The sequence below is a fragment of the Homo sapiens genome, chromosome 5 (genome assembly GCF_000001405.40).
Source record: "Homo sapiens chromosome 5, GRCh38.p14 Primary Assembly".
In the NCBI taxonomy this organism is placed as follows: domain Eukaryota; kingdom Metazoa; phylum Chordata; class Mammalia; order Primates; family Hominidae; genus Homo; species Homo sapiens.
The window spans coordinates 32,583,582-32,608,727 of record NC_000005.10 but is presented as its reverse complement, the minus strand read 5'-3'; the positions used below and the strand labels follow the sequence as shown (position 1 = coordinate 32,608,727).

At 39.8% G+C, this 25,146-nt stretch overlaps 1 protein-coding gene across 3 annotated transcripts, besides 2 other annotated features; it reads right to left on the bottom strand.

The window, feature by feature from the left end:
• Window positions 1–4,648: 4,648 nt before the first annotated feature.
• Window positions 4,649–23,171, bottom strand: SUB1 (SUB1 regulator of transcription). 3 transcript variants are annotated; one of them, XM_047416661.1, is made up of 6 exons: window positions 22,757–23,171; window positions 22,227–22,359; window positions 20,144–20,216; window positions 17,043–17,165; window positions 9,659–9,767; window positions 4,649–7,723 (listed from the first exon to the last, which is right to left on the bottom strand). In XM_047416661.1, the coding sequence occupies exons 3-6, from the start codon at window positions 20,213–20,215 to the stop codon at window positions 7,644–7,646; spliced, it is 384 nt and encodes a 127-aa protein (XP_047272617.1). In that variant the 5' UTR covers window position 20,216; window positions 22,227–22,359; window positions 22,757–23,171; the 3' UTR covers window positions 4,649–7,643. The 3 variants fall into 3 exon arrangements, with proteins under 3 accessions (XP_047272617.1, XP_011512246.1, NP_006704.3); XM_011513944.4 differs by having other exon boundaries at window positions 22,227–22,236; NM_006713.4 differs by lacking the exon at window positions 22,227–22,359 and having other exon boundaries at window positions 23,103–23,171.
• Window positions 22,588–22,857: a silencer, noted in NCBI's record as "silent region_15960". NCBI's record gives its function as "represses an Ori minimal core promoter by ATAC-STARR-seq in GM12878 lymphoblastoid cells {active_cell/tissue: GM12878}" and the evidence as "EXISTENCE:reporter gene assay evidence [ECO:0000049][PMID:35858748]".
• Window positions 22,898–22,997: a silencer, noted in NCBI's record as "silent region_15959". NCBI's record gives its function as "represses an Ori minimal core promoter by ATAC-STARR-seq in GM12878 lymphoblastoid cells {active_cell/tissue: GM12878}" and the evidence as "EXISTENCE:reporter gene assay evidence [ECO:0000049][PMID:35858748]".
• Window positions 23,172–25,146: the final 1,975 nt, after the last annotated feature.

Below are 25,146 nucleotides of genomic sequence, written 5' to 3'. Positions count from 1 at the left end.
CTTCACATACCTCAACCCAAACAAAAGATTATCTGCAGAAGCAAACAGGAGAATCCAGCCATGTTCTATTAAAGAGATTGGTAAAATGTAAAATAATGTCACTCATAATTTTGTTTTGCAAAATATGATTATTTTCCATTAAAAAAATGTTAAAGTATCTTTCCATTCCTAGGAAATACATATTGAAGTACTTAAAATGAAATATGCCTGCAGTTTACTTTCAAATATTCATCCAAAAAATTGTATAGATGTATACACATGTATGTATGTGTGTAAACATGTATGCCTAAGTGGCATCAGAGATACTTGGTCTTTGTCCCTGGTTCCTGGCACAGAGCTCCTAAAACCTAATTTCTTGAGTTAAAAGTGATAGTAGGATCTTTTGTTCAAATGAGGGACTCTTGGCAGGGCCCCTAGACAGCTTCAGGATGGGGACTGGTTGCTAGAAAGATGAAACTTTGATTAGAAGCTTAGAATTTTCAGCTCCACCTCCCAACCTCTGGGGATGGGTGAGGAAGTGAGGACTGTTAATCACCAATGGCTAAAAATTTAATCAATCACGTGTAATGGAATCTCTATAAAAACACCCTAAATGATGGGGCTCAGAGACTTAAGTTGGTGACATAGTAAGGTGCTGGGAGAGTGGTGCTCCCAGAGAAGGCACAGAGCTCCATCTCCCTTCCCCATACCTTGCCCTGGGCATCTCTCCCATTTGGCTGTTCCTGAGTTTTATCCTTTATAATAAACCTGTAATTGTGAATAAAGTGCTTTCCTGAGTTGTGTGAATGGTTCCAGTCAATTATCAAATGTGAGAAGGGGATTGTGGAAACCCTCTGAATTTACTGGTCACAAGTACCAGTGACAACCATGGACTTACGGCTGGCATCTGAAGTGGGGGCCTTCTTGTGGGACTGAGCCCTTAACTTGTGGGATCTGACACACTAACTCCACGTAGATGGTATCAGAATTAAATTGTAGGACACCCAAATGGAGTAAGAGAAGTGGTGATGGAAAAAACACACACACTTGGCTCAGAAGTAAAAATAGCTCAGCATATGCGTACGTTAACTTTCTACAATTTACTTCCAAACAGTTCAGCAAAAAGAGACAGAAGGTTGCAAAATAATAGGTGAAGGATATGAGTGTTCCTTATACTATTGATTCAACTTTTCTCTGGGTTTGAAATTTTTCAGAATAAAATACGTTGGGGGCCAGGCACAGTGGCTCATGCCTGTAATCCCAGCACTTTGGGAGGCCAAAGCGGGCAGATTGCTTGAAGCCCGAAGTTCAAGACCAGCCTGGCAAACACAGTGAAATCCCGTCTCTACTAAAAATACAAAAATTAGTCGGGTGTGGTGGCACGCACCTGTAATCCCAGCTACTAGGGAGGCTAAGGAATGAGAATCGCTTGAACCTGGGAGGTGGAGGTTGCAGTGAGCCAAGATCACGCCACTGTACTCCAGCCTGGGTGACAGAGCAAGACTCTCAAAAAAAATAAAGATAAAATACGTGGGGGAAAAAAATCAAGTGCAAGGTCACTGAAATAGGAAGCAAACATTCTTCAAGTTAGAGGGGCCATTTCCATCTGCGACCCTGTGGCCTAGGAGCCATTCCCGAGGCTCCTCCAATAGATTAAAGAGGTCTTAAACTTCCTCCCTTCATTTATAGGCTCCCCATCCAGCGCAGGCCCTGTGACTCCAACAAGGAACTGAGATCTCATGCACCTTAAAACAATAAATGAGAATGGCTCATGGCTAGACATGACTGGTACCAGATCCCAAAACCCAAGGTTTGACTAGGCCCTGGTCTCAATTTGGAGAGCTTGGCTGTGGAGAAGAGGGGCGTGAGAACCAAGTGATCGAATTCCTGTTAAAATGAAGTAATTTGTGGCTCACACCTGTAATCCCAGCACTTTGGGAGGCCGAGGCGGGTGGATTACGAGGTCAGGAGTTCAAGACCAGACTGGCCAAGATGGTGAAACCCTATCTCTACTAAAAGTACAAAAAATTAGCCGGGCCTGGTGTGGGCGCCTGTAATCCCTCCTACTCAGGAGGCTGAGGCAGAGAATTGCTTGAACCTGGGAGGTGGAGGATGCAGTGAGCCGAGATCGTGCCACTGCACTCCAGCCTGGTGACAAAGCGAGACTCCGTCTCAAAAAAAAAACAAAAAAAAAAGTAGTAATTCATATTTTTCTTTAAAATTACTAGAAGTACTCATGGTTCAGGTGGCACTTAGTCACCAAAAAAAAAAAAAGTGGGAAGTGGTTGAAACTGTTGCTGACGCCGGGTGTGGTGGCTCAAGCCTTTAATCCCAGCACTTTGGGAGGCCAAGGCGGGCGGATCACGAGGTCAGGAGATCGAGACCATCCTGGCTAACATGGTGAAACCCCGTCTCTACTAAAAATACAAAAAATTAGCTGGGCGCGGTGGCGGGCGCCTGTAGTCCCAGCTACTCGGGAGGCTGAGGCAGGAGAATGGCGTGAACCTGGGAGGCAGAGCTTGCAGTGAGCCGAGATCACGCCACTGACTCCAGCCTGGGAAACAAAGCAAGACTCCGTCTCAGGAAAAAAAAAAAAAAAAAAAAAGAAACCATTGCTGACACCAAAGGTCAACTTAAATTCATACCGAAGAAGTTAGGAACCTTACCACCTTCCTTCAGATGCTGCACACTGTAATTTCAATCACACTCTGCCCTGGATCCCACACCCTTCTACAGCCACCATCCTATTTTTCTTTATCCTTCACAACCAAGCTGCTCAAATGAACTTACACACAGTCTCCACTCCTCACTCAACCAGCCTCTGCCCTCCCCACCCTTGTCACCACCACCAATGGCCTTCATGTTACCAAATCTTCAGAAACATCAAAGTTGTAAAAGTCAAGGAAAAACTAAGGAACTGTCAGGCTGAAGGAAACTGAAGTAAAGAGAGAATCAAATGAGACACGTGATCCTGTGTTACATGCTTTTGCTAAAAGACACTGAAACTCACAAAATCTGAATGGGGTCTCTGAGTGGAGGGGTACATGGGAGTTTTCTGTACCATTCCTGCAACAACTACATACTTGAAAAATAAAGCCTTCAGAATAGGAGCTATTAAAAGACTTGGGCTTGGCAGACACAGTGGTATACACCTGCAGTGTACAGATGCTAGGAAGGCTAAGGCAGGAGGATCACCTGGGCCCACAAGTGCAAGGCCATGGTGCGCTAGGATCACACCTGTAAACAGCCACTGCACTCCAGCCTGGGCAACACAGAAAGACCCTGTCTCTTCAAAAAATAAATACATAACATTTTAAAAGACTTGGGCTTAGCTTACTTAGGAAGGCAAAACTGGAACTTTCACATCACTTTTCAAGATACGTGAGTTACTACATAGACAACTTCAGCTGATTTCTGAACTACATATACAGTCTTCCTGTTACCCATGGAGGTTACATTATCCAACTATTGAAATGAGTTGAAATTCAGGAGCAGTTAAAAAGTGGCATAAATCTTATCTCCTAACTATGCAGTAAGTTATCCAGCAGAAGGATAAACCATTTAAACTATCAAGAACCTAAAAAGTGAAGAGGAGCATTTCACTTAGGCAGTGGGTCACTATTAATCCAGGACTAAAATGTCTATAAAAGCAGGTCTGGGAAGGTGTGGACTCTGTAAGGGGCTTATGTGAATGAAGCAAGTGGGCAAAGAAAAGTCCTGTTCATGTAGCAAGCTTTTTTTGTTGTTTTTTTGTTTTTTTTGAGACAGTCTCACTCTGTTGCCCAGGCTGGAGTACAGTGGCACAATCTCGGCTCACTGCAACCTCTGCCTCCTGGGTGCAAGTAATTCTCCTGCCTCAGCCTCCACTGTAGCTGGAATTGCAGGTGCTCACCAGCATACCCAGCTAATTTTTGTATTTTAGTAGAGATGGGGTTTCACCATGTCGGCCAGGCTGGTCTCGAACTCCTGACCTCAAGTGATCCATCCGCCTTGGCCTCCCAAAGTGCTGGGATTAAAGGTGTGAGCCACCGCACCGGGCTGTAGCAAGATCTTTTACTAAAATGGACACAACTATTAGGTGAACTGTTATATAGTAACTAATTCCATATAATTTTTTTAAATGTTTATTAGTACTTTGCAAATACCCTTCCTATCCCAGTAACTCCCTTTGAGCCATACTACAAAACTATGAAGTCAGTGATTAATTGTGTGAACTCCAAGTACTCTTTTTTTCCTTCTTCTGGCTGAATTATGTTTTACTAAAAGCAAATTTACAGTTAAGTGAATATACCATGGATCTTTCTATTCCTAAACAGAAATTGAAATGGGGCCTCAACATATAAACAAAAACAATAACCAAGGGCAAAATAGGGACTTCATAAATGAAAATGTAAATTTGAAATCTTCAAAGGAGTCCATGACACCAGTCAAGTATATGAAGGAATCATTAGACTACAAAGCACTTAAAGGGAGAAAGAAAAAAAAAGAGGCTGTGTACACCTAAGTGTTTGCATTTTTCCATTTGGATCAGGTAGATGGAAAGGACGGACCCAAGACTAATCCACATTCCAAAGCATTCACACAGAAAGGCATTCTATTAATAAAACTCATTCAACAGACAAATTACCCATTTACCTTCAGGTTTGTGAAACCGGGATAACACAAAGGGCACATTTCTTACTTTTATTTCAACATTTAAAATATTCACAGATGGAGTATTATATTCAGACATCTCCATGGAAGATGTACGAAAACAAAGCATACAAGCATTCCACAATTACAGAATTACATATTTGTGATTATGTGAATGTTCACCCTACAGTTTATCTGGAAAAACACTTTTAAAAAAAAAAAAACTTTTGAGTGTTTCACTGGATTAACTGCCATAAAAAATGAACTGCAAAGAATTTCAGGAGAGATACCTAAATTTAAGTACTTTTACTTTTTAAAAATTTCAAACTTTTATAGTATTCTGCTAACATATCTCCTGTGAGGAACACTTAATACTGAATTTTCCCCTCAATAGCCAAGTCAGAATATACTTATTTCATTTTTCACCCAAGTCTTTGTTTCTAAACGCATTATGTAGAATAGATTTGATCGTCACAGCATCTTGAGTAGCTAATGAGGTAGGAGTATTCTTAAGTTCTTAGGCATTAATGAAGCAAAGCAAAAGACAATCAAATTACAAAGATTTTCTTTTGTAGTGGTTGTTCTTTAAGTAAAATGCTAAGAGCACTGGAAATTGGTCAAATGCTACTCACATTTTAAAAACGAAGAGGAAAAACCCATTAGAAAGCCCTGATACACATAGAGTCTGTTAAAGGGAAAAACCTGAGTACTGGAATTAAATTCATTTTGGCATTGTAAGGTAAGGTATCTACGCCTAAAAATGCCAAGTTTTCTGCCCAGGAAAAAAAAATCTTTACCAAGGAGATAAAATTTAAACAGAAAACAAAATTAATCTATACTTTCTTTTCAGAACAAGTTAATTTGCTTTTAACCCAGTTCTCTTTTCCTATACACAAACTGATTAATAATTTCAGTATACTGCATATCCAGTAACACATTTAAATGAAGTTAGCAGTCAACTTACCAACTGTGCCAGAGAAACACTCCTTATATGGAGGCTTCATTAACATAATGCTGAACAACTAGAAAACATGTAGGTAATAGATTTCAGCACCATCTGTTAGTAGATTGTTTCAAAATGCATACACCCCCTAAATTCACATAAACCTAGGAAATTTACCCATCATTCCCTCTGCATCTACACCAAAAATCAAAGTTCTGTACTCGAACTACCCTTTCCGTGTGCCAAAAATAAGAAATATTTAAAAATCTATCCAATTAAGTTAATAGGACACAAACATGTTCCCCAAAAAAGGAGGGAAGTTACCAATCAAGCATGATGTGTCTAAAGTACAAACTTTGGGAGTTTCTCTGAACCTACTCTGGTTCAAGGGGCTGCAAAAAATACACATTTTTAATACACTGGTACCTATTATTCGATGAAGGCTAAATTACAAGAGATTTACCAATTTGAACCTCATAAGGTTACTGCTAAATATACTTTAAAAAGTCATCTAAAAAATGTTTTAGAAATACAACAGAATAGCTGATAGAAAAAAAAATTGATAACTATGTGGCCTGGCAAATGATTTTCAAATTAAGTCCTTGACAAGTAACTACAAAATGTTTTAGATGTATGAATCAAACTTGGTAGCAAAATAGTGCAAAACTCTAATATGGCAGACCTTAATAGCAGGTAACCATTTGAGATTTGCTACCAAAAATAATTTGTCAACAAGAATCTTTTATATGTCTTTAAAACTTTCCTTTTTCTACTCTACCTAGAATTGTGTTCCACTGCTGTTATAAAAATCTCAAAATATCATATGTATATCATTTAGATAGAAGAGAATTATTTCCTCTTCACTGCCGCCTCCTTTAATTTCAGTTATAATTCCCTTTATAAACATTCTTTTCCTAAGGCACACCATGCCCTATTTATTGCCACAAAGCCACTAAAATCTGTGCCTCAATCTGTCTGCTTCATCAGTATGGTTAAATACAAACCACTTACTAGTGTCTGCTAAAACTTAGTATCATCAAGTCTAGAATGCCATTGGTCTGTTCTACTGGGGCAAAGGCCAAAATACACAAGCATGTGCTCATATGCTCTTTTCCCTACAAACTAACCATATTACCTACTATAACAGTAAAGCTTAATGACATCTCTGGCTACATATAATTCATACCCAATATTATAAAATAAAATGTTAGGCCAGTAAGCTTTCACAATTTTTATTAAATCCTAGTCTAGTTGAACAATATCTGATGTTACAGACATCATCCCATGGTGAACATGTTTAATAAGTGAAAGCAAGTCAGACATCTCATCTAAGTCATTATTTTCTGCAGACTAAGCAATAACTACACAGAACACTATGGGTAAACAAACACCTGCTCAGTTTTCACACAAGCCATGTTGTTTATCAAATTAGATCTGCTAATATTGAATACAGTAGATTCGGTGATTGTAGTTCTCATATAAGTATCTTATTGAGATAACATTTTGACAGTTTCACTGACTTTCCAAATAAGCATACCATAATCAAAGAAAAGAATAAAGAGTGAAGTAAAAACTGAACATGAAGAGATTAAGTTATTAAAGGAAAATGAAGTAAATAAAAAGAGTGAAAAACCATTGGGGGTGGAAGTCAAACAAGCCTAGACATTTGATTGGAAGAGAAAAGATCAAATATGAAGTTCACAAACCAAAAGTTTATAAACTCAATGCAATACAAATCCTTTTTATTGTAAAAGCTGAGTTGAAACTAAAAGATCTATAAAAACTGTTACTTTTGGCCTTAAACAGTACCAACTCTTATGATCAAAAAAGGCCACAACAGTTAAGATTGTATTACTTGATTTTATTTTACACTAGGTGGTGGGCAGACAAAGTAATCCTTAATAAAGTTGACAATTAGCTTCACTCAATATTTTTAATAATGCACATTAAAAAAAAGTATTCATCTTACAAATTCTTCTGCAATCCAAACATACAATAGCTTGGAGAACATTTAGAAAACAAAAGCCAATGTAAAAAGACAGATTAAAACAACTAGAACAGTACAGGTTTTATTTATATGGCTCGAATTTTACAGTTTTCTTACTGCATCATCAATGTCAGAAATCTGTTCCTTCAGCTGGCTCCATTGTTCTGGATTTAAAGAAATACCTAAAACAAAGTTTAAAAATTCAAAGGTGAAAATCTATTTAAGCGTTGAGGATTTTCATACTTCCAACTAGAATACTGTTTTATCAAAATTGCCACTTTAGGCTGGGCGCGGTGGCTCACACCTGTAATCCCAGCACTTTGGGAGGCCAAGGCGGGTGGATCACTTGAGGTCAGGAGTTCAAGACCAGCCTGGCCCAACATGGTGAAACCCCATCTCTACTAAAAATACAAAAATTAGCCGGGCATGGTGGTGGGCACCTGTAATCCCAGCTACTCAAGAGGCTGAGACAGGAGAATTGCTCGAACCTGGGAGGTGGAAGTTACAGTGAGCCAAGATCATGCCACTGCACTCCAGCCTGGGCAAGAGAGCAAGACTCCATCTAAAAAAAAAAAAAAAATTGCCACTTGGACACAATGCTACAATACTGAAAATCATATCTCTTACATTTGTTAATTACATATCATCACAATTTACTGAGCATTATCAATCTCATATCCAGTCTTACTTTCCACAGTGCATCCTGCATAGTACCTATTGTAACCAATGAGAATAAATAAGGGTTTGAAGACACATCTTACTAATACCCGTCAACTATCAGGCTAAAATGGTCAGGTCCAGATTTGGCATGTGATACCCCATTACTATATTTCCAGCTGGTTCCAATATTTGCCCAAAATTTCCACAGGAATTCAAGCCAATTGTGCTGAGTTCTTCCAGAAGCATTCATTTCACTTTGGAAAAATTCCCAGGACGTGATTCATACAGGACTCCTCAGAGAGTATACCCGGGTAACTGCACTCTAGGGTCACCCTATCAGGGTTAAAATTCCAGCCTCACTTTCACTAAGTGTATGACCCTTAAAAAAGAACTACATCACCTTGTAAGCCTTAGTTTCCTCACCAGTAAAATGGCATCTATACGCCAAAGAGTTGTTGTAAATGATTAAGTAACATGAATAATGAACTTAGCATATCACCTAACACATAAATGGTTAAAAAATGTGAGATATGTCTTTCCAGTTTAAGATGTAAAAGTATGAACAGAAATTTTATATTTTCTATATTTTGTACTTTAACGTTCTAGCATTCCAATACCGACGCATATAAACAGAGAAGTAAACAAGAACTGGCAGAAAGTATTCCCAGAAAACTGCTGGAAGGCCATGAAATTGAAAAAAAAGAATAAACAAGAAATATGGCATCGGCCACTCTGGTACGTGAATTACCAATCCAGAAGTGACTTGAAGAAAATATGAAAGCATATAAACACATATAGAGGCTGAGTTTAACCAAAAAAAAAAAAACTGCATGAAGCAAACAAGTGGTACCTTTCAAACTAACAGGCAGGCAGAATAAAACTAAATAAGGAAGCATTTTTCTTTAGCTGAGGGTCAACCTAGAGCAGCAATCCAAATATACAAATTTAGGTTGGCTCACCTTCTCTAGCTGTTTGGTGAATTATACAAAATATGTTTCTACAATGCTAAGAGGCTTGGGACTGGATGAAGCACAAATGGAAGGAAAGCAGAGATCCGCTTGAAGAGTAATGCCCTAAAGAATAGCTTTTAGGAGCTGAATCAAAAGGAAGCATTGTAAACCAAGATTTTCCATTCCTGATTTTACAAGTTCCCAGATAGTGCCTAATCTGCTTCAGAATTGCATAAACCTTTTTAAAAATTGTTCAAGTAAATTAGCAGCCAACTGAAGTGATATTAGGGGTGTTACTTTTCTGGGTTTTATTCCCAAAAGCTGTATTAAGACATCTCATTAAAAAAATGTTAAGTATCATGTCCAAAATAACTACAGAAGATAGAGAATCAATTGAGTAAGACTCTTCCTTGCCCCGTGTGTCCTGCCAACATTTCAAGTAAGCTACTCAGAAAAGTTGTCGTTTAGTCCTAACACTGTAATAAAATTCAAGTAATTAGACCTCACCTTTTCTTCCTGGTTTCATTTCACCTTCAGGATCCATCCAATATTCTCTAATATCAATTAGCACTTTGCCTTTAAAATCGCGAACACTAACGTACCTCATTTTCCCAATCTGCAAAAGAAACAAACATAAAAAGAGGTGCTCCTTTCAAGAGTGGTATCTGTTTCAATTGTATTCATATTCACAACTTGCTGCATGCTCACTCTACATCTAATCATGAAAATGACTACTGCTGACCCTTGAACAACATGGCTCTGAACTGTGCAGGTCCCACTTATATGCATATTTTTTTCAATAAATATACTGGAAAAATTTTTGCAGACTTGACAATTTGAAAAAACTCACAGAACAACTGCATAGCCTAGAAATAACGAAAACATTAAGAAAAAGTTAGGTATGTCATGAATGCATAAAACATACCTAGATATGAGGTTATTTTATCACTTACTATCATAAAACATACAAATCTATTATATGAAGTTAGAGAGAAATGTAAACAAAGATGGAGTATTAATTCATAACTGCATAAAATTAACTACAGTAGTGTACTAGTGTTAACTTCATAGCCACTTCCTGTTATCTCAGTGTACTCAAATGTTACAAGTATCTGCTTAAAACACCTTGTGTAAAACACCATGTGATGCTAATCATCTCTGCTGAGCAGTTCATGTCTCCAACAAATTGCGTATTGCAGTAAAAAGTGATCTCTCACGGTTTTCACATTATTTTTCATCATGATTACTGCAATACCATAAACTTTAAATAACACCATGAGTCCTATACAAAGTGCCCCTAGTGATGCTGAAAGTGCTCCCAAGAAGCAGAGAGAAGGCATGACATCACAAGAAAAAAACTGCCAGAAGCAGTGGTGCATGCCTATGATCCCAGCTACTCAGGAGGCTGAGGCCGGAGGATCACTTGAGCCCAGGAGCTTGAATCCAATCTGGGCAACACAGCAAGATCCTGTCTTTAATTTTAAAATGCAAAAAAATAAAAATAAAAATAAAAATAAAAAAGTTGAATTGCTTGATATGTACCACGGACTGAAATCTGCAGCTGTGGTTGCCTACAATTTCTAACAGATGACATATTTTATTAACAGATGACATATCTTATAAACAGACAACGTAAACTAATGTTATTGATAAACACCATACAGTACAGTAAAATGTAATTTTTCTCCCTTATGATTTTCTTAGTAATATTTTCTTTTCTCTAGCTTACTTTATTGTAAGAATACAGTATATAATACATATAACATACAAATATATGTTAACTGTTTATGTTACTGTTAAGGCTACCAGTCAACAGTAGGCTATACTTAGCAGTTTTGACAAAGTCAAAAGTTATAACCAGATTTTCAACTGCACAGGGGTTGGTGCCTTGCATTTTGACCCTGCATTGTTCAAGGGTCAACTGTACTACTCTCAGTATCAAAACTGCAACCAAAGGAAATTGCTGTTTAAACTATCATATGATCCAGCAATCCTACTTCTGAATATATATCCCAAAAAATTGAAAGCACAGACTCCAAGAGACATCTGCACACCCATGTTCATAGCAGCATTATTCACAAGAGCCAAGAAGTGGAAACAACACAAATATCCACCCAGAGATGAACTGATAAACAAAATGGGAGAGGGGGGGTGGAATAGACACACAATGGAATATCAATTAGCTTTTAAAAAAGGAAATCCTGTTACATACTACGTCAATGAAATAAGCCAGTCATAAAAAGGAAAAAGGTAATACTTTATGATTCCACTTACATGATGTCAAGTTCACAGGAACAAAAAGTAGAATGGTGGTTACCAGGGCTGGGAGAAGGGGAACTGTTGTTTAATGGCCACAGAGGTTCAGTTTTGCAAGATGAAACAGTTTCGGCAATCTGTTTCACAACAATGTGAATATACTTTTATGGTTTTTACCAGCAAAAAAAAAAATCATTAGGAAGCAATATTTTGCAGTACAAACTACAACCAAGAGGAATCCACAGATGCAACTAGCTACACTGCTTCACCAACCATTCTGAATATACGAATCCAGAGTTCCAGTCAATAACAACCAAGTTTTTCCTTTTCATGTTCACTTCAAATAACATCTTTAATGCACCTCACTCACAGTCAGATTGAGAACTTAAAAATATTCACAGAAAATTATTTTTCAAAAATCTTATATATCTGCTTACCACAAATTACAAATTCCAGAGAAAAGAACAGGCTTTCCTCAACAAAGTGTCTCTTAGCACTTTCCAAGACTCACTATAATATAGTAAGGGAAGACAATGCAGTACTGGAGTAAAGACAGACATAAGAGGTCAGTGGAACACAACGGAGTCAAAAAATACACACGCATTGGATATATTCACTGATTTTTTTGGGGGGAGGGGGTAAAATCCAAGGTAATTCAAAGGAATAAGAATACTCTTTTCAACAAATGGTGTTGAAACAACAGGCTATCTGCATTTGGGGTGGGGAAGACTCTAAATCTCTATCTTACATCATACACAGAGAAATTAATTCTACATGAATTATAGACCTAAATGTGAAAACTAAAACTATAAAACTTCTAGGAAAAAACACTGGCAAAAATTTTTGTGGCCATGGTAGGCAAAATACGTCTTGGACAGAAAATAAGCATTAAGCAAAAAAGGAGAAAAATCGATAGAATAGACAATCACACTAAAGCCTTTTTTAAAAAGATGCTTCAGAAAATAAAAAGGTAAACCAGAAACCTAAAGAAAATATTCACTCAAGTTGGAGCCACAGGGGTCTTGGCCTTCGAGGAGAGCCTGAGGAAGAAGCAGAACCGTGGACGTGAAGAAAATGATGAACTGACCAGAATCCGTGAGGACCTCATTTCCAAGAGAGAGAAGATCTGTCACAGACGCCCCTGACCAACTGCCAGTCCCCCCTTATTCTGTCTGTTTGATTCTCTCTGGTTTCATATTTTCCTCTCTGTTAACCTCCACTCATTTTTGAACTAGATTGCTTTGAAAACTAAAGTTTCCCTGAAGTCTAAAAAAAATATTAATTATACTTACATCTGACAAAATATATAAAGTGTTACAACTCAAATGACCTGGCATTTTAAGTGGCCAAAAGATACTCTTCACAAAAGATATAAAAATAACCAATAAACACACTAAAGATGTACAATGAATTAAGACATGTACATGAGGGAAATGGAAAGTAAAACCACCATGAGCTACCATTATACATTCAATGTAACTAAAAAGAAAAAAACTTAAAAGACTGACAATATCTAGCGAGGATGTGGAGCAACTGGAATCTCCTAAGTAGTACCGATGGCTGTGTAAAATGCTACAGCTACTATGGAAAATGGTTTGACAGTGTCTTATACAGTTACACATTTACCCTACGACTCAGCAAATGTATCTGGTATTTACCCAAAAGGGAAAAAATGTCCACAAAATGACTTGTACAAGAATATTCACAGCAGTTGTATTCCTAATAGCCCAAGACTTGATACAATCCCAATGTCCACCCAAGGTGAATGGATTTACAAGTTGTAGTATTATCATACAAAATACTACTCAGCAATAAAATTACTGATATATGCAACAAGAACTAATCTCAACACATTATACTGAGCAAAAGCCAGACACAAAAAATAGACTGCATGTATCCATTTATACAAAGTTCTAGAAGAGACAACATAAATCTATAGTGGTAGAAATAAGATCAGTGATTACCTAGGACATGAGCAATGACTGTAAAGCCAAGAGGAACTTCCTGGGGTGATGAAAATGGTCTGGCCACAAAGGCGTGTACATTTACCACAGCCTATCAAGGTATGCTTTTAAATGTGTGCGTTTTATTGGACATAAACTATACCTCAAAAACATTTTTTTTTTTAAAAAAAAAAGGAATCTGCCCAACAGCTGCCTCTCCCTTGGGGGGAAAAAAAGAGTAAAACTGACAAATTCTTATTAGCAAAAATTAAACAAGTGATGAGATAGTAGTATAGGGATATATTACTTAAAGATAGAAAAAATAAAGATCACTGAAATCACATTTTATTGGAAAAAAATAAAATCAGATGACAATATATTTTATATCCACAAAATCTGGAGATTAGCAGCAAAAAATAGCATATACATCATAAAGAACTGTGATTCTTATACGAATTTGATTCCCTGTCCCCTCTGAAGATCTGATAAAGCAGTGGTTCCTAACCTTTTTGGCACCAGGGACCAGTCTCACGGAAGACAATTTTTCCACAGCAGGTAGGGAAGGGGAAAGGTGATCGTTTCAGGATAAAAATTATCCCACCATCAGGCATTAGATTCTCATAAGGAATAAGGAACGCACAACCTAGATCCCTTGCATGCGCAGTTCACAATAGGGTTCGCGCTCCTATGAGAATCTAATGCCGCTGCTGATCTGACAGGAGGCAGAGCTCGGGCTGCAATGTTCACTCACACACCGCTCACCTCCTGTGCAGGAGGGACCCCTGTGATAAAGGTTATGAATAATTCCTTCAAACACAAAAAAGAAAACTCAAATTAAAAAACAATTCTATGGACTCCTGCCCCAGATTAAAATGACCAGTTATAATCATTTTAAATTAAATAATTTAAAAGTATCAAGTATCCTTAAATCATCAAATAAACTAAAGCAGTATTACTGACCCTTTGTGCCTAACTCTGAAGAAAAATATGGATTAAAGTTTCCTGCCTCAACTATTCTGACCTTTCAAGACACAGGTACTAAATAATTATGAGATAATTCTCCAGTCTCTTTACTATCACAGATGTCACCTCAGGTAGACTACATCCCTATGGAAGAAAGTTCTTCAAAATCAGAGCTGAAGGAACCAGGAAGTAAGCATCTCTAGTATCTTCTCTCTAGTCACGATTCTGCCCCAATCACTTCAGACTTTAAAAGATAAGTCTATTGATTTTTCTTTGGTACAACTCTTTAATACATTTAGAGAACTGCTTATGTATTGATGTTTGATGTACATCAAGCTGTAATGGCAATGAAATTAAGTATCATATTATTTCATAATGCCTACACTACTAGATCCATGAAAGCCACTCTGAAAATAAGGCCTAGGCTGGGCGCCGTGGCTCACACCTGTAATCCCAGCACTTTGGGAGGCCAAGGCAGGCAGATGGCGAGGTCAAGAGATCGAGACCATCCTGGCCAACCAGGTGAAATCCCGTCTCTACTAAAAATACAAAAATTGGCTGGGGGTGGTGGCGCATGCCTGTAGTCCCAGCTACTCAGGAGACTGAGGCAGGAGAATCTCTTGAACCCAGGAGGCGGAGGTTGCAGTGAGCCGAGATTCGTGCTACTGCACTCCAGCCTGGTGACAGAGCGAGACTCCGTCTCAAAAAAAAAAAAAAGAAAAGATGACCTATGTTCCTCCTAGAGGCAGGCTTTCAAAAGGTGCAATGTCAGCCTTAGGAGGCTTAGGAATCTTTCCAGATGAGGGTTTAAGAAATGAAGCTCCGTTTTTCTGGTGAGAAAATTCCTAAAATTAGATCTAGTTTTCACAAAACTCCTCTTAACAGAACAGAATCTCTAAAATGTGTGTTCTGAACTAAATAGTTCATCTGCACTTTGTCTATCTTTTTTACCTAGAAGTATAACAAGGCAAAAATAAGCAATAGGAAAAAAAAAACTTAAATTTTCCCATTCTCACCTTAATCTTGGCACTCCACCTTTCAAAGTTATCAACAGGTCAAAATATACATGTGTTAGCCTTACTTTCTAGTCATATAAATGTCTACAGTCTTGGCCAGTCACGGTGGCTCACGCCTGTAATCCCAGCACTTTCAGAAGCCAAGGTGGGCGCATCACTTGAGCTCAGGAGTTCAAGACCAGCCTGGGCAATACTGTTTCTACCAACAACAAAGAAAATTTGCCAGGCGTCATGGAGCATTGCCTGTAGTCCCAGTTACTCAGGAGGCTGAGGCAGGAGGATCATTTGAGCCCAGGAAGCGGAAGTTGCAGTGAGCAGAGATCACACCACTGCACTCCAGCCTGGGTGACAGAGCAGAGACCCTGTCTCAAAAAAAAAATTGTAGTCTCGTTCCACCCAACTTTTTGGTTTCAACTAATACTTATAGCTCCTGGAAACACTCATCCTTTTCTTGCTCCCATTACTGCACTCTTCTAATTTTCCTTCACCCTCTCTCTTAACCTACATCCTCTTTTTCCTTCCATTCTCTATCTGAATATAACCCAAGACATCCCCTCATCTGCTTCCTGTTCTTCCTCTGTTTAATACTTCAGTAGGCAGCTTTAGTCAACCATGCTGATAATCCCACATGAACATTTCCCAACTAAGCCCTTCAGGTGCTACAGAAGCAACACCATTTTTTTTTTCAATCACATCCACAATCAAGTCCACATCTTCACTGACTGCCTAATTCCTCTGGTCCATTCTTCCTAACCTGTATCTTGTAATTGGCATAATTTCTTCTTTAGGAAAAACCATCTAAGCCCTTATCACCTCACATACAGATTAAAGCCTACAATTACCTAAGCAATCTCACCTGCATTCATTTATTCCCCAACATCCCTTCCTCACAAATCCTTCTTGTACAAAGATGCCAGTGTCAAGTCTCCCTAAAACAAGACAGGAAACCCAAGAGAAAAAGCTATACGAGTCCTCTCTAGGTGATTTCATCAAGTCCCTCTAATGAACTTCCTTCACTTTATCTATTCAACCCATTCCCCTTTTCTGTTGCTCATCAGGCCAAAATTAGGCATGTCACATTGCTGCTTCCTGTCCCATAATAATCTATTCATACTTTACTGTCCCAACACTTGACCTGCCTCCTCCAAGTTGCTTTCAAAATGTGCAGTTCTCAATTAAATTTGCATTGGTTTAAATACAGCAAAACTAGACTTTAGAGACTTTAACAATAATCCAGCATCGTACAAAATACTTTTACTAGTTTGTTCTATTTTAATAAATGTCCCTAGTTAAGAAGATTGTAACATACATATTAGGCAATTATCAGATCATAGTACTTTTAACATTCTTCAGATCAAGCCAGATAATAATTCCTCTGAATCTAAAGAAACAGCCAACTTTGGCAAGGCATGGTGGCTCACACCTGTAAACCCAGCACTTTTGGAGGCTGAGGCAGTTGGATCACAAGGTCAGGAGTTCAAGACCAGCCTGGCCAAGATGGTGAAACCCCATCTCTACTAAAAATACAAAAATTAGCCAGGTCTGGTGGCGGATGCCTGTAATCCTAGCTACTCGGGAGGCTGAGGCAGAGAACTGCTTGAACTCAGGAGGCTGAGGTTGCAGTGAGCCGAGATGGCGCCACTGCACTCCAGCCTGGGTGACAGAGCATGACTCCATGTCAAAAAAAAAAAAAAAAAAAATAGCCAACTTTACCTGAAACATGTTATCATCTCTGCTGCTGCTGCTCTGTTTAGAAGATGACAGGGCTCTCGAAGTCTCACCTGTCTTTTGTTTCTTTACAGGTTTTTCTGGAGCAACTTGCTTTTTCCTCTTTAACTAGAAAAGAATATGGTTAAAATTTGCACACATAAAAATAAAACATACCCCAGTGTCAAAAGATCCCATTACTTTTTAAGATTTAAACAATCAAAAGACTACATCCAAAATATCATAAATATATACATAAGCAAGTTTCACTCAACAACAAAACTATGAATCTAACCAATCCTTCTGTCTAGTAATGTTTTCAAACTCTGTTCTCAGGATCCCAAAAGACACTTCAGGCATTATAGTAGTATTAACCACAGGAACGGTTATTTTGTGGTTTGGGATCCCACATACGATTTCTTTGGTAGAAAAAAAAATGGAGGGATCTTGCTACTTCTGAATAAACCTGGAAACCACAGTCTACTAAGGCTAGTCAGTTACTTATTTTACGAAGCAGATATACTAATTAAAAAGAATATAACCAACTTATTCCATTTCCAGGATATGTTTATTTATGTCCTGCCTATTCCAAAAGGAATTTATGCTGGCTTAAGGAATTTATGGGCCGGGCGCGGTAGCTCACACCTGTAATCCCAGCACTTTGGGAGTCCGAGGCGGGAGGATCACTTGAGGTCAGGAGTTCGAGACCAGCCTGGCCACATGGTGAAACCCCATCTCCACTAAAAATACAAAAAAAGTTAGCCAGGCGTGGTGGTGGGCACCTATAATCCCAGCTACTAGGGAGGCTGAGGCAGAGAACTGCTTGAATCCAGGAGGCTGAGGTTGCAGTGAGCCGAGATCGTGCCATTGCACTCCAGCCTGGGCAACAGAGCGATACTCCATCTCAAAAAAAAAAAAAAAAAAAAAAATTAGCCAGGCGTGGTGGCACACGCCTGTAATCCCAGCTACTCGGAAGGCTGAGGCAGGAGAATCGCTTGAACCCGGGACGCGAAGGTTGCAGTGAGCCGAGATCGCGCCATTACACTCCAGCCTGGGCAACAAAAGCAAAACTTCATCTCAAAATAAAAAATTAAAAAAAAAGGAATTTACAATTAGGCAAATCTTTAGAGAGCTATTTTGCACTGGGCACTGACAGCCAGCAACTCAAGAACTTCCTCATTACAAAAAAAAAAAAAATCATTGTAGACAGCTATGTGTTAGACTAGCTTTCAAAAATCACAACGTTGTTTTAAAAACAGCATTATTTTAAAAGCTTATTAGAAAGTCGCATTCTCAAAAAGAGCTAACCCATAAAAACCACTACAATACCCAACCCAAACAGAAGAGGGCAGTCATGTTCCTTCTTGATGGAATAGTATAAATATTTTAATGTTACTAAATTAATTGAATGTTACCAAATTAGATGAAGCTAGGAAAAATATTATATACATGTAAAACATGAAATGAAAAATGTGGTATACAAGGTTAAGTGTTTACAAGAGTAATATTACTATTTGGGACAAACAAAAAGTTAGCTCAATATGCAGAAAGCAATTATTCTATAAATCAGGCTCTAAGTATTCCCTGTGGAATAGTGCATGTCTGGCAAATAAAAGCTCAATACACATGTGTTACATCAACATACTCAAATACTATATAGGGTGCAAATTTTAAAATTAAGAAATTTACTCAAGTATAGTCTTTGAAGCCTTATTTTACCCTTCCATGTGTTGTTATATTCTATATTTATACTTTAAGGTTGCAACTTCTCCAATCTCCCATACGCTCTCCCCTTTTCTTTTAGCTAAAATTGCTAAGCTTCAGGAGGAAAAAAAAAAGATAGGGAGCCTGCTTCTTTTGAATAAACTTTCGGAAATCACAGGTCTACCAGTGCTAGTCATTACTTACTATTTTACAAAGGATATATACTAATTAGGAAAAACACGACCAACTTATTCTATTTCTAGGATATAAATATCTCTTCAGATATGTAAAGTTCTATGCGATAAAAGACAATTCTGCACGGAAGACTTGACCGCAGAGTGAGACGCTCAGTTATGCTCCACTGAGATGCTCAATTTAGCGAAATTCACCAATTACGGTGCAGCTGTCATCTAATGCAGAAAAAGCCTATCTTGTCAATGGGTTTCAAGTTAGCTTTACTGCGTGCTGATTTAATTAAATGGAAGGGACCAGAGCACAAACTTAGTACAAACTTAAAAATGTACCAAGTCTAAAATTCAGAAAACCTTATGTGCAGAATAAACACCAGTAACTAAGAGAACTGTCAAAATTAACATTTTATGGCCACTCATGATGGCTCACACCTGTAATCCCAGCACTTTGGGAGTCTGAGGCAGAAGAATTGCCTGAGGCCAGGAGTTTGAGACCAGCCTTAGCAACACAGCAATACCTGGTCCCTACAAAAACATTTTTTTTTTAATTAACCAGGCATGATGCCTGTAGTCCCAGCTACTCTGGAGGCAGAGGTGGGAGGACTGCTTGAGACCAGGAGGTCGAGGCTGCAGTGAGCCATGATGGTGCCACCACACTCCAGCCTCGGCAAGAGAGTAAGACCCTGTCTTTAAAAAAAAAAATTAACATTTTACAAAAAAAAATCTGGTAAATTTCTAAATAACGGCAAATAGTGACTTTGGCCTACTTAGAATTCTATGACCCTAGGATGCAAGGCAGTGTTTCTGCAACTTTAGGGTTCCTAATGATGCTCAACAGAAGACTTGTTAAGTCTGATTTAGGGCCTATGAGTATGAATGTGCAAAAAGCATCCTAGGCACTTCTAGTCAAGTGGTCCAGAGACCAACCGTACCTCCAGAAATACCCATTCACATTCTTATTTTTTATTTTTTATTTATTTATTTTTTTAAAGAGACAGGTTCTTGCTATGTTAGCCTGGTTGGTCTTGAACTCTTGGCCTCAAGCAATCCTGCCACCTCGGCCTCCCAAAGAAGTAGGATAACAGGCATGAGCCACCGCGCCCAGCTAGATCCTCATTTTAAGATGTTAATACACCTTTTACTATCCTTCAGAATGGGATATGGACAATATTGTTGAGTATCACCAAAATGACTTGGTGCAGCAGTAGTCACCTTTTTGTCAACCTCACTGTCAGAATCACTGCCAGAAGAGCTTGAAGAAACAAGTTCCTTTGATTTAGGCATCCTGAAAGAAAAATACATTACAAAAATAATTAATAAGGTACTCTACTACTTTCAACTTAGCTCTCCCCCAATCAAAGAAAAAAATCAAGGACAAGTTCCACGGTTCATTCTACCATTTTTGTGGTACTGAGTTGTTACACTGAGCACAAGTTTTAATCTATACCCTTTTAAGTTGCAAATAACACGCAGGGTGCAATGTGCTGAACCCAGTAAGAACAATGAACTAAATGTCATACACTCCTACACCTCTAACCTTTCTCCAGGCCAATGGATCTTTCTATACTTCGTTTTAATGGCATTACACACTATGGGTAGGGTAAACTGCAAGAAGGCAGCAGACAACAATTACTATTAAAACCAGAAGAAATGTAATTCTACTATTACTGCTTTAGACTTCTCATCAACGAGATTGGAACTAACGTAAAATTATTCACTATGGGGAACTGACCCCAACATTTACACAACAGGGAACTAGCTGTACTATGCAAATGTGACATCTAATTAATTTTTACATAATATTTTATTCATATTTTGACTTTTTGGCCGTATCACCAAAATAACGACAGGTACTAATTCAAGAGTACACAAAATTATACGCAATTCAGGCCGGGAACGATGGTTCACGCCTGTAATCCCAAAACTTTAGGAGGCCAAAGCAGGCGGATCACCTGAGGTCAGGAGTTCGAGACCAGCCTGGCCAACATGGTGAAACCCTATCTCCACTAAAAATACAAAAATTAACAGGGCACGGTGGCACACCTGTAGTCCCAGCAATTCGGGAGACTGAGGCAGGAGAATCGCTTCAACACCGGAGGCAGAGGTTGCAGTGACACAAGGTCACATCATTGCACTCCGGCCTGGGCAACAAAGCAAGACTCCATCTCAAAAAAAAAAAAAAATCTTACACAATTCACAGCAATTCATTACATTTTACACAGATTTTTCTACTCTGGAACATAATTAAAATTTGAAGAACCTATTTATGGGAGGTGCAAAACCTATTTATGGGAGGTGCAAAACCTTCCCGCAAATTCCTACCATGCTGGTAACTTCCCAGGTCCCCCCAGAGACATAGATAACTTAGTGCCTTGCTTACAAGTGGGTGTTTACTGAGTGCCTGAGTGCAAGTTTGCAGAAAGCAAACTATCAGTAAGCCTAAGCCCCAAATTTCAAGGAATTCCAAGATACGTGGATACCTCTATTCAAGGCACTTATAACACCAGGTCATAAAACGCTGATTATCAAAATATCTTTTGCTCTCCCCATCTCAGAAGAGATTAGGTCCTATTAACCCATTTATGCCAGAGGTTGCAATTTTTTGAATTTATGCAAGCAGACCTTGGCGATGATCTTGAGCAGTAGCACATAAATAACTCCCACATGCTTAGCGTTCCAATAATGGAACACTAGGCATAAATTAGCTAATTTCTGTATGCGTTAAAGGGCCTAATAAACACATCACACACTGTATTTGTTTAATACAAGAAAAAAAGACTTAAAATTCCTCCTTAAAAAAAAATCATAAATAATCTAGCTCTCTAGATGAAACTTGCATTAGCACTGACATTGCATATGTTCCAAAATAGGAGGTCAAGGAAAAAGAAGTGGGCCACCCCAATCCTAGCCATTAAATTCAAAAAGCTCAATCTGATTTTAACTGGTAATGTCTTCAAGGGTAAATTCAGAAGGGAAAAGCAATGTTCATGACCACGTTTTATCCGTTTTTCCTGTTTCTGCTCCATTTTGCAACCTCATCTCTAAAATCAATTTAGTTAAGTTTTTTATGCTAATTAATACGACAAAAAGATATTTTTTAAAAAGGTAATTAAATTGAACATAATTTTTCACTTTGAAACTGTCGATCATAACTACCGTCTGTTATCAAAAACTGCCTGGGGGCCTAAGAATTTTTCAAAGAACCACCTGGTACTCAACCCAAAGAAGTCCACTGGAGAAGAAAGGTAACGGTAACTAAAACCAGCCTCTAAACTTTTAACAAATATATATTTACCTTAATGAGCCTGTTCCAATGTGGGGGTGGGGGGAGAAGCAGCTTGTAATTCAAGTAACTGATACTGAAACCACTATTGTAGAATTTATACAAAACGCAACTTTAAAAAGAGAAACGAAATCTTCAGCCTTTGCTGATTGAGGGAAAGATCAGAAAAAAACGAGGTGAAAATGAACCAGGACTGAAGGGCACACGACTTCGGTATAACAGGAAGGTGACAAGCACAAGACCAGGGAAGGGGTCGCGCGGCCCCAGCAAGCCGCTAGAACCCCGTGGCTAGCAGCCGCTCGGGCGAGGGGAGACAGGTTGGTCGGAGGGGGCGTGGGAGGCGGCGAAGTGCGGAGAAGACGGCGTGGGAAGGGGCGGGATTTGCACCAAGCGCCATTTTCTTCTCTCGAAGCGTTCCCTCCCCCTGCACATCAGCCGTTCTTCCCCCGGCCCCCTCCCGCCCGCATCCGCTCTCCCAGTCTCCAGAGCGCCCCGCTCAGGGCGAGGGGCGGGGGAAGAGTAGGTAACCGCACGCGCCCCACCTAGGCAGGCCGCCGCCGCATTGTCCCGGGGACGCCGCGACTCTCTCCCCGCGACTCCTCACTCCCCGGCCGCCCTCAATCTACCGCCCCGGGCCGCAGCGCCCGCCGCCTCGACTCGGCTCCCCGGGGACAGGAGTCTACCGCGGAAGGGCCCACAGCGCGTCAGGCGTGGAGTCAGAAACGGAGAAGGGGGCCGGGGACGCCGAGGGGAAGGGGGAGGTAAGGCAGAGCCGCCATTTCCCGCGGCCATTGCCGGCGAGAGGAGTGGAGGGCCGAAGGCAGCTCACGGCCCGGCTGGGAGGGTGGGGGCCCCGAGGAGTAGGGGTAGGGGGTCCCGCGCACTCACGCTTCGCTCGGCTCTAGCAGTCGAACACCCTCTTGGTCGTTCGCTCGCGACTGACAGAGAACCGGAAGTGACGGCAGCCAGGAGACGCCGGCCCCGCCGCGCTGGGGCTGCGGTCACGTGATGGGGCGTGGCCTCCCCACAGAAACCAACACTTAGACCCTTTCCAGGGCCTTAAAGGGACCGCGTCTCTTCCTAAATGGGTGACGCGAAAGTCAGATGTTGGAAGATTACATCTGACCCTTGAGAGAATGAAAGAGCTAATATCCTTCCTGTAGGAGATAGCTTAAAAAAAAATTAAAAAAAAGGAAAACGCCAATAAAACATGAGTGACAAGCGCCAAGCTTTGCGTTTGTTCAATAAATGTTTACTCTAATGAAGCGAAGGGGTCATAATGAAAAAGATCAATACTCTGGCCCATTTTCCCAGAAATGGTCTTCCTACCCCACTTCACCCACCTCAATACATGCCTCTGCCTCCTAAAATCCAAAGGAAGGAAGCTAAAGTCACAGCGTTTAATTCCAGAAAGTGCAAGAAATCTTTGGAGTACTCCTTATTCCTGTATTGAAGTCCTGGAGATGTAAGGGAGTTCACAGAAGGCAAGAGGAATCCATATACAAGCAGGAATATAGCTAAAAGATTATTTGAATATGTATTTGAATGAATACTTCCTACAGCTAAGAATCAATATAAAGGCATATCTATTAACAAAGATTTATCAAGCACCCACTACGTGTCAGACGCTGCAGGAGGCAATTTACATTACTCATCCTAACAAGCATGTTCCAAAGCAGAAATGACTGTTCTCTCCATTTTATAGACGAGGAAACCAAAGTTAACGCCCTATGGAGAGGATATTTCCTGTTACAGCTGAAGCGTGAATTGTCCTTATGTTCTCTCCCTCCAGACCCTATTTTCCTGCCTCAGGTAGAGGAATGGTATGGGATTTTACAAAGTAGAGGATGGAATCCTGTCGAAGCTCAGAATTGCACATCGGAGATGCCACAGAGGCTAAGGAAGGGCAGTGGGTTGCAGAAAGGGAGGAGTGTTTGGATCTACATATGGAGCAGTTAGACCTGTGGTTCCCACCCATCCCACCCTTATAGGAGAAGAGAGTTATATATTCCCTGCAAACATTAAAGCTGGGAGCGGAATGTGTAATGGGGTTGAGACGCAAAGAACACAGCGGATGGAATCAAAGTCTGAACACTAAACGTGAAAGCATCCCCCACACGTCCCTTTCTAGAATTACCTGACTTTTAAAGGATTAAATGCTGACAAAAATACAAACTAATCCCTTAGTTTGTTGTGAAACTCTCCATCATAATGAAATAAAAGAAGCCATGAAAATAAACACTGACATCAGGCGCGGTGGCTCACCCCTGTAATCCGAGCACTTTGGGAGGCCGAGGCGGGTGGATCGCCTGAGGTCAGGAGTTCGAGACCAGCCTGACAAATATGGTGAAACCCCGTCTCTACTAAAAACACAAAAATTAGGCGGGCGTGGTGGCGTGTGCCCAGCTACTCAGGAGGGTAAGACAGGAGAATCATATGAACCTGGGAAGTGGAGGTTGCAGTGAGCTGAAATTGTACTACTGCACTCCAGCCTGGATGACAGAGTGAAACTCCGTCTCAAAAAAAAAAAGAAAAGAAACACTGACATTATGCATTGTCATGGGACACTGCGCAGCTCCACACCTAGCTAAAGAAATGCTTAATATTCAAGGTAAACCACGTACACTTAAACTAATATGGTATCCCCTCCATCTGCAACCCTTCCTGCTTTAACAAGTTTTCATTCAGTTTCTGTGTCACTGAGGGAACCTGGGCAGTGTGCCTGCTGTAGGTTTGGGTTTCGGTTCTCTAAGCGTCGGAGGTGGAGAGCTGTTAAGGAGGTATGCATTTTTAGAAGTAGGGAGACCTGAAACTTTGCATGCAAATTTGTTGGCTCAATTTTCCTGGGTGTGGTACTTTGTAAAACTAATCGAAAATCCTTGATCCTAAGCGTTGCCCATTTTTAAAAGGTAAACATAACTCAAGAAAATAA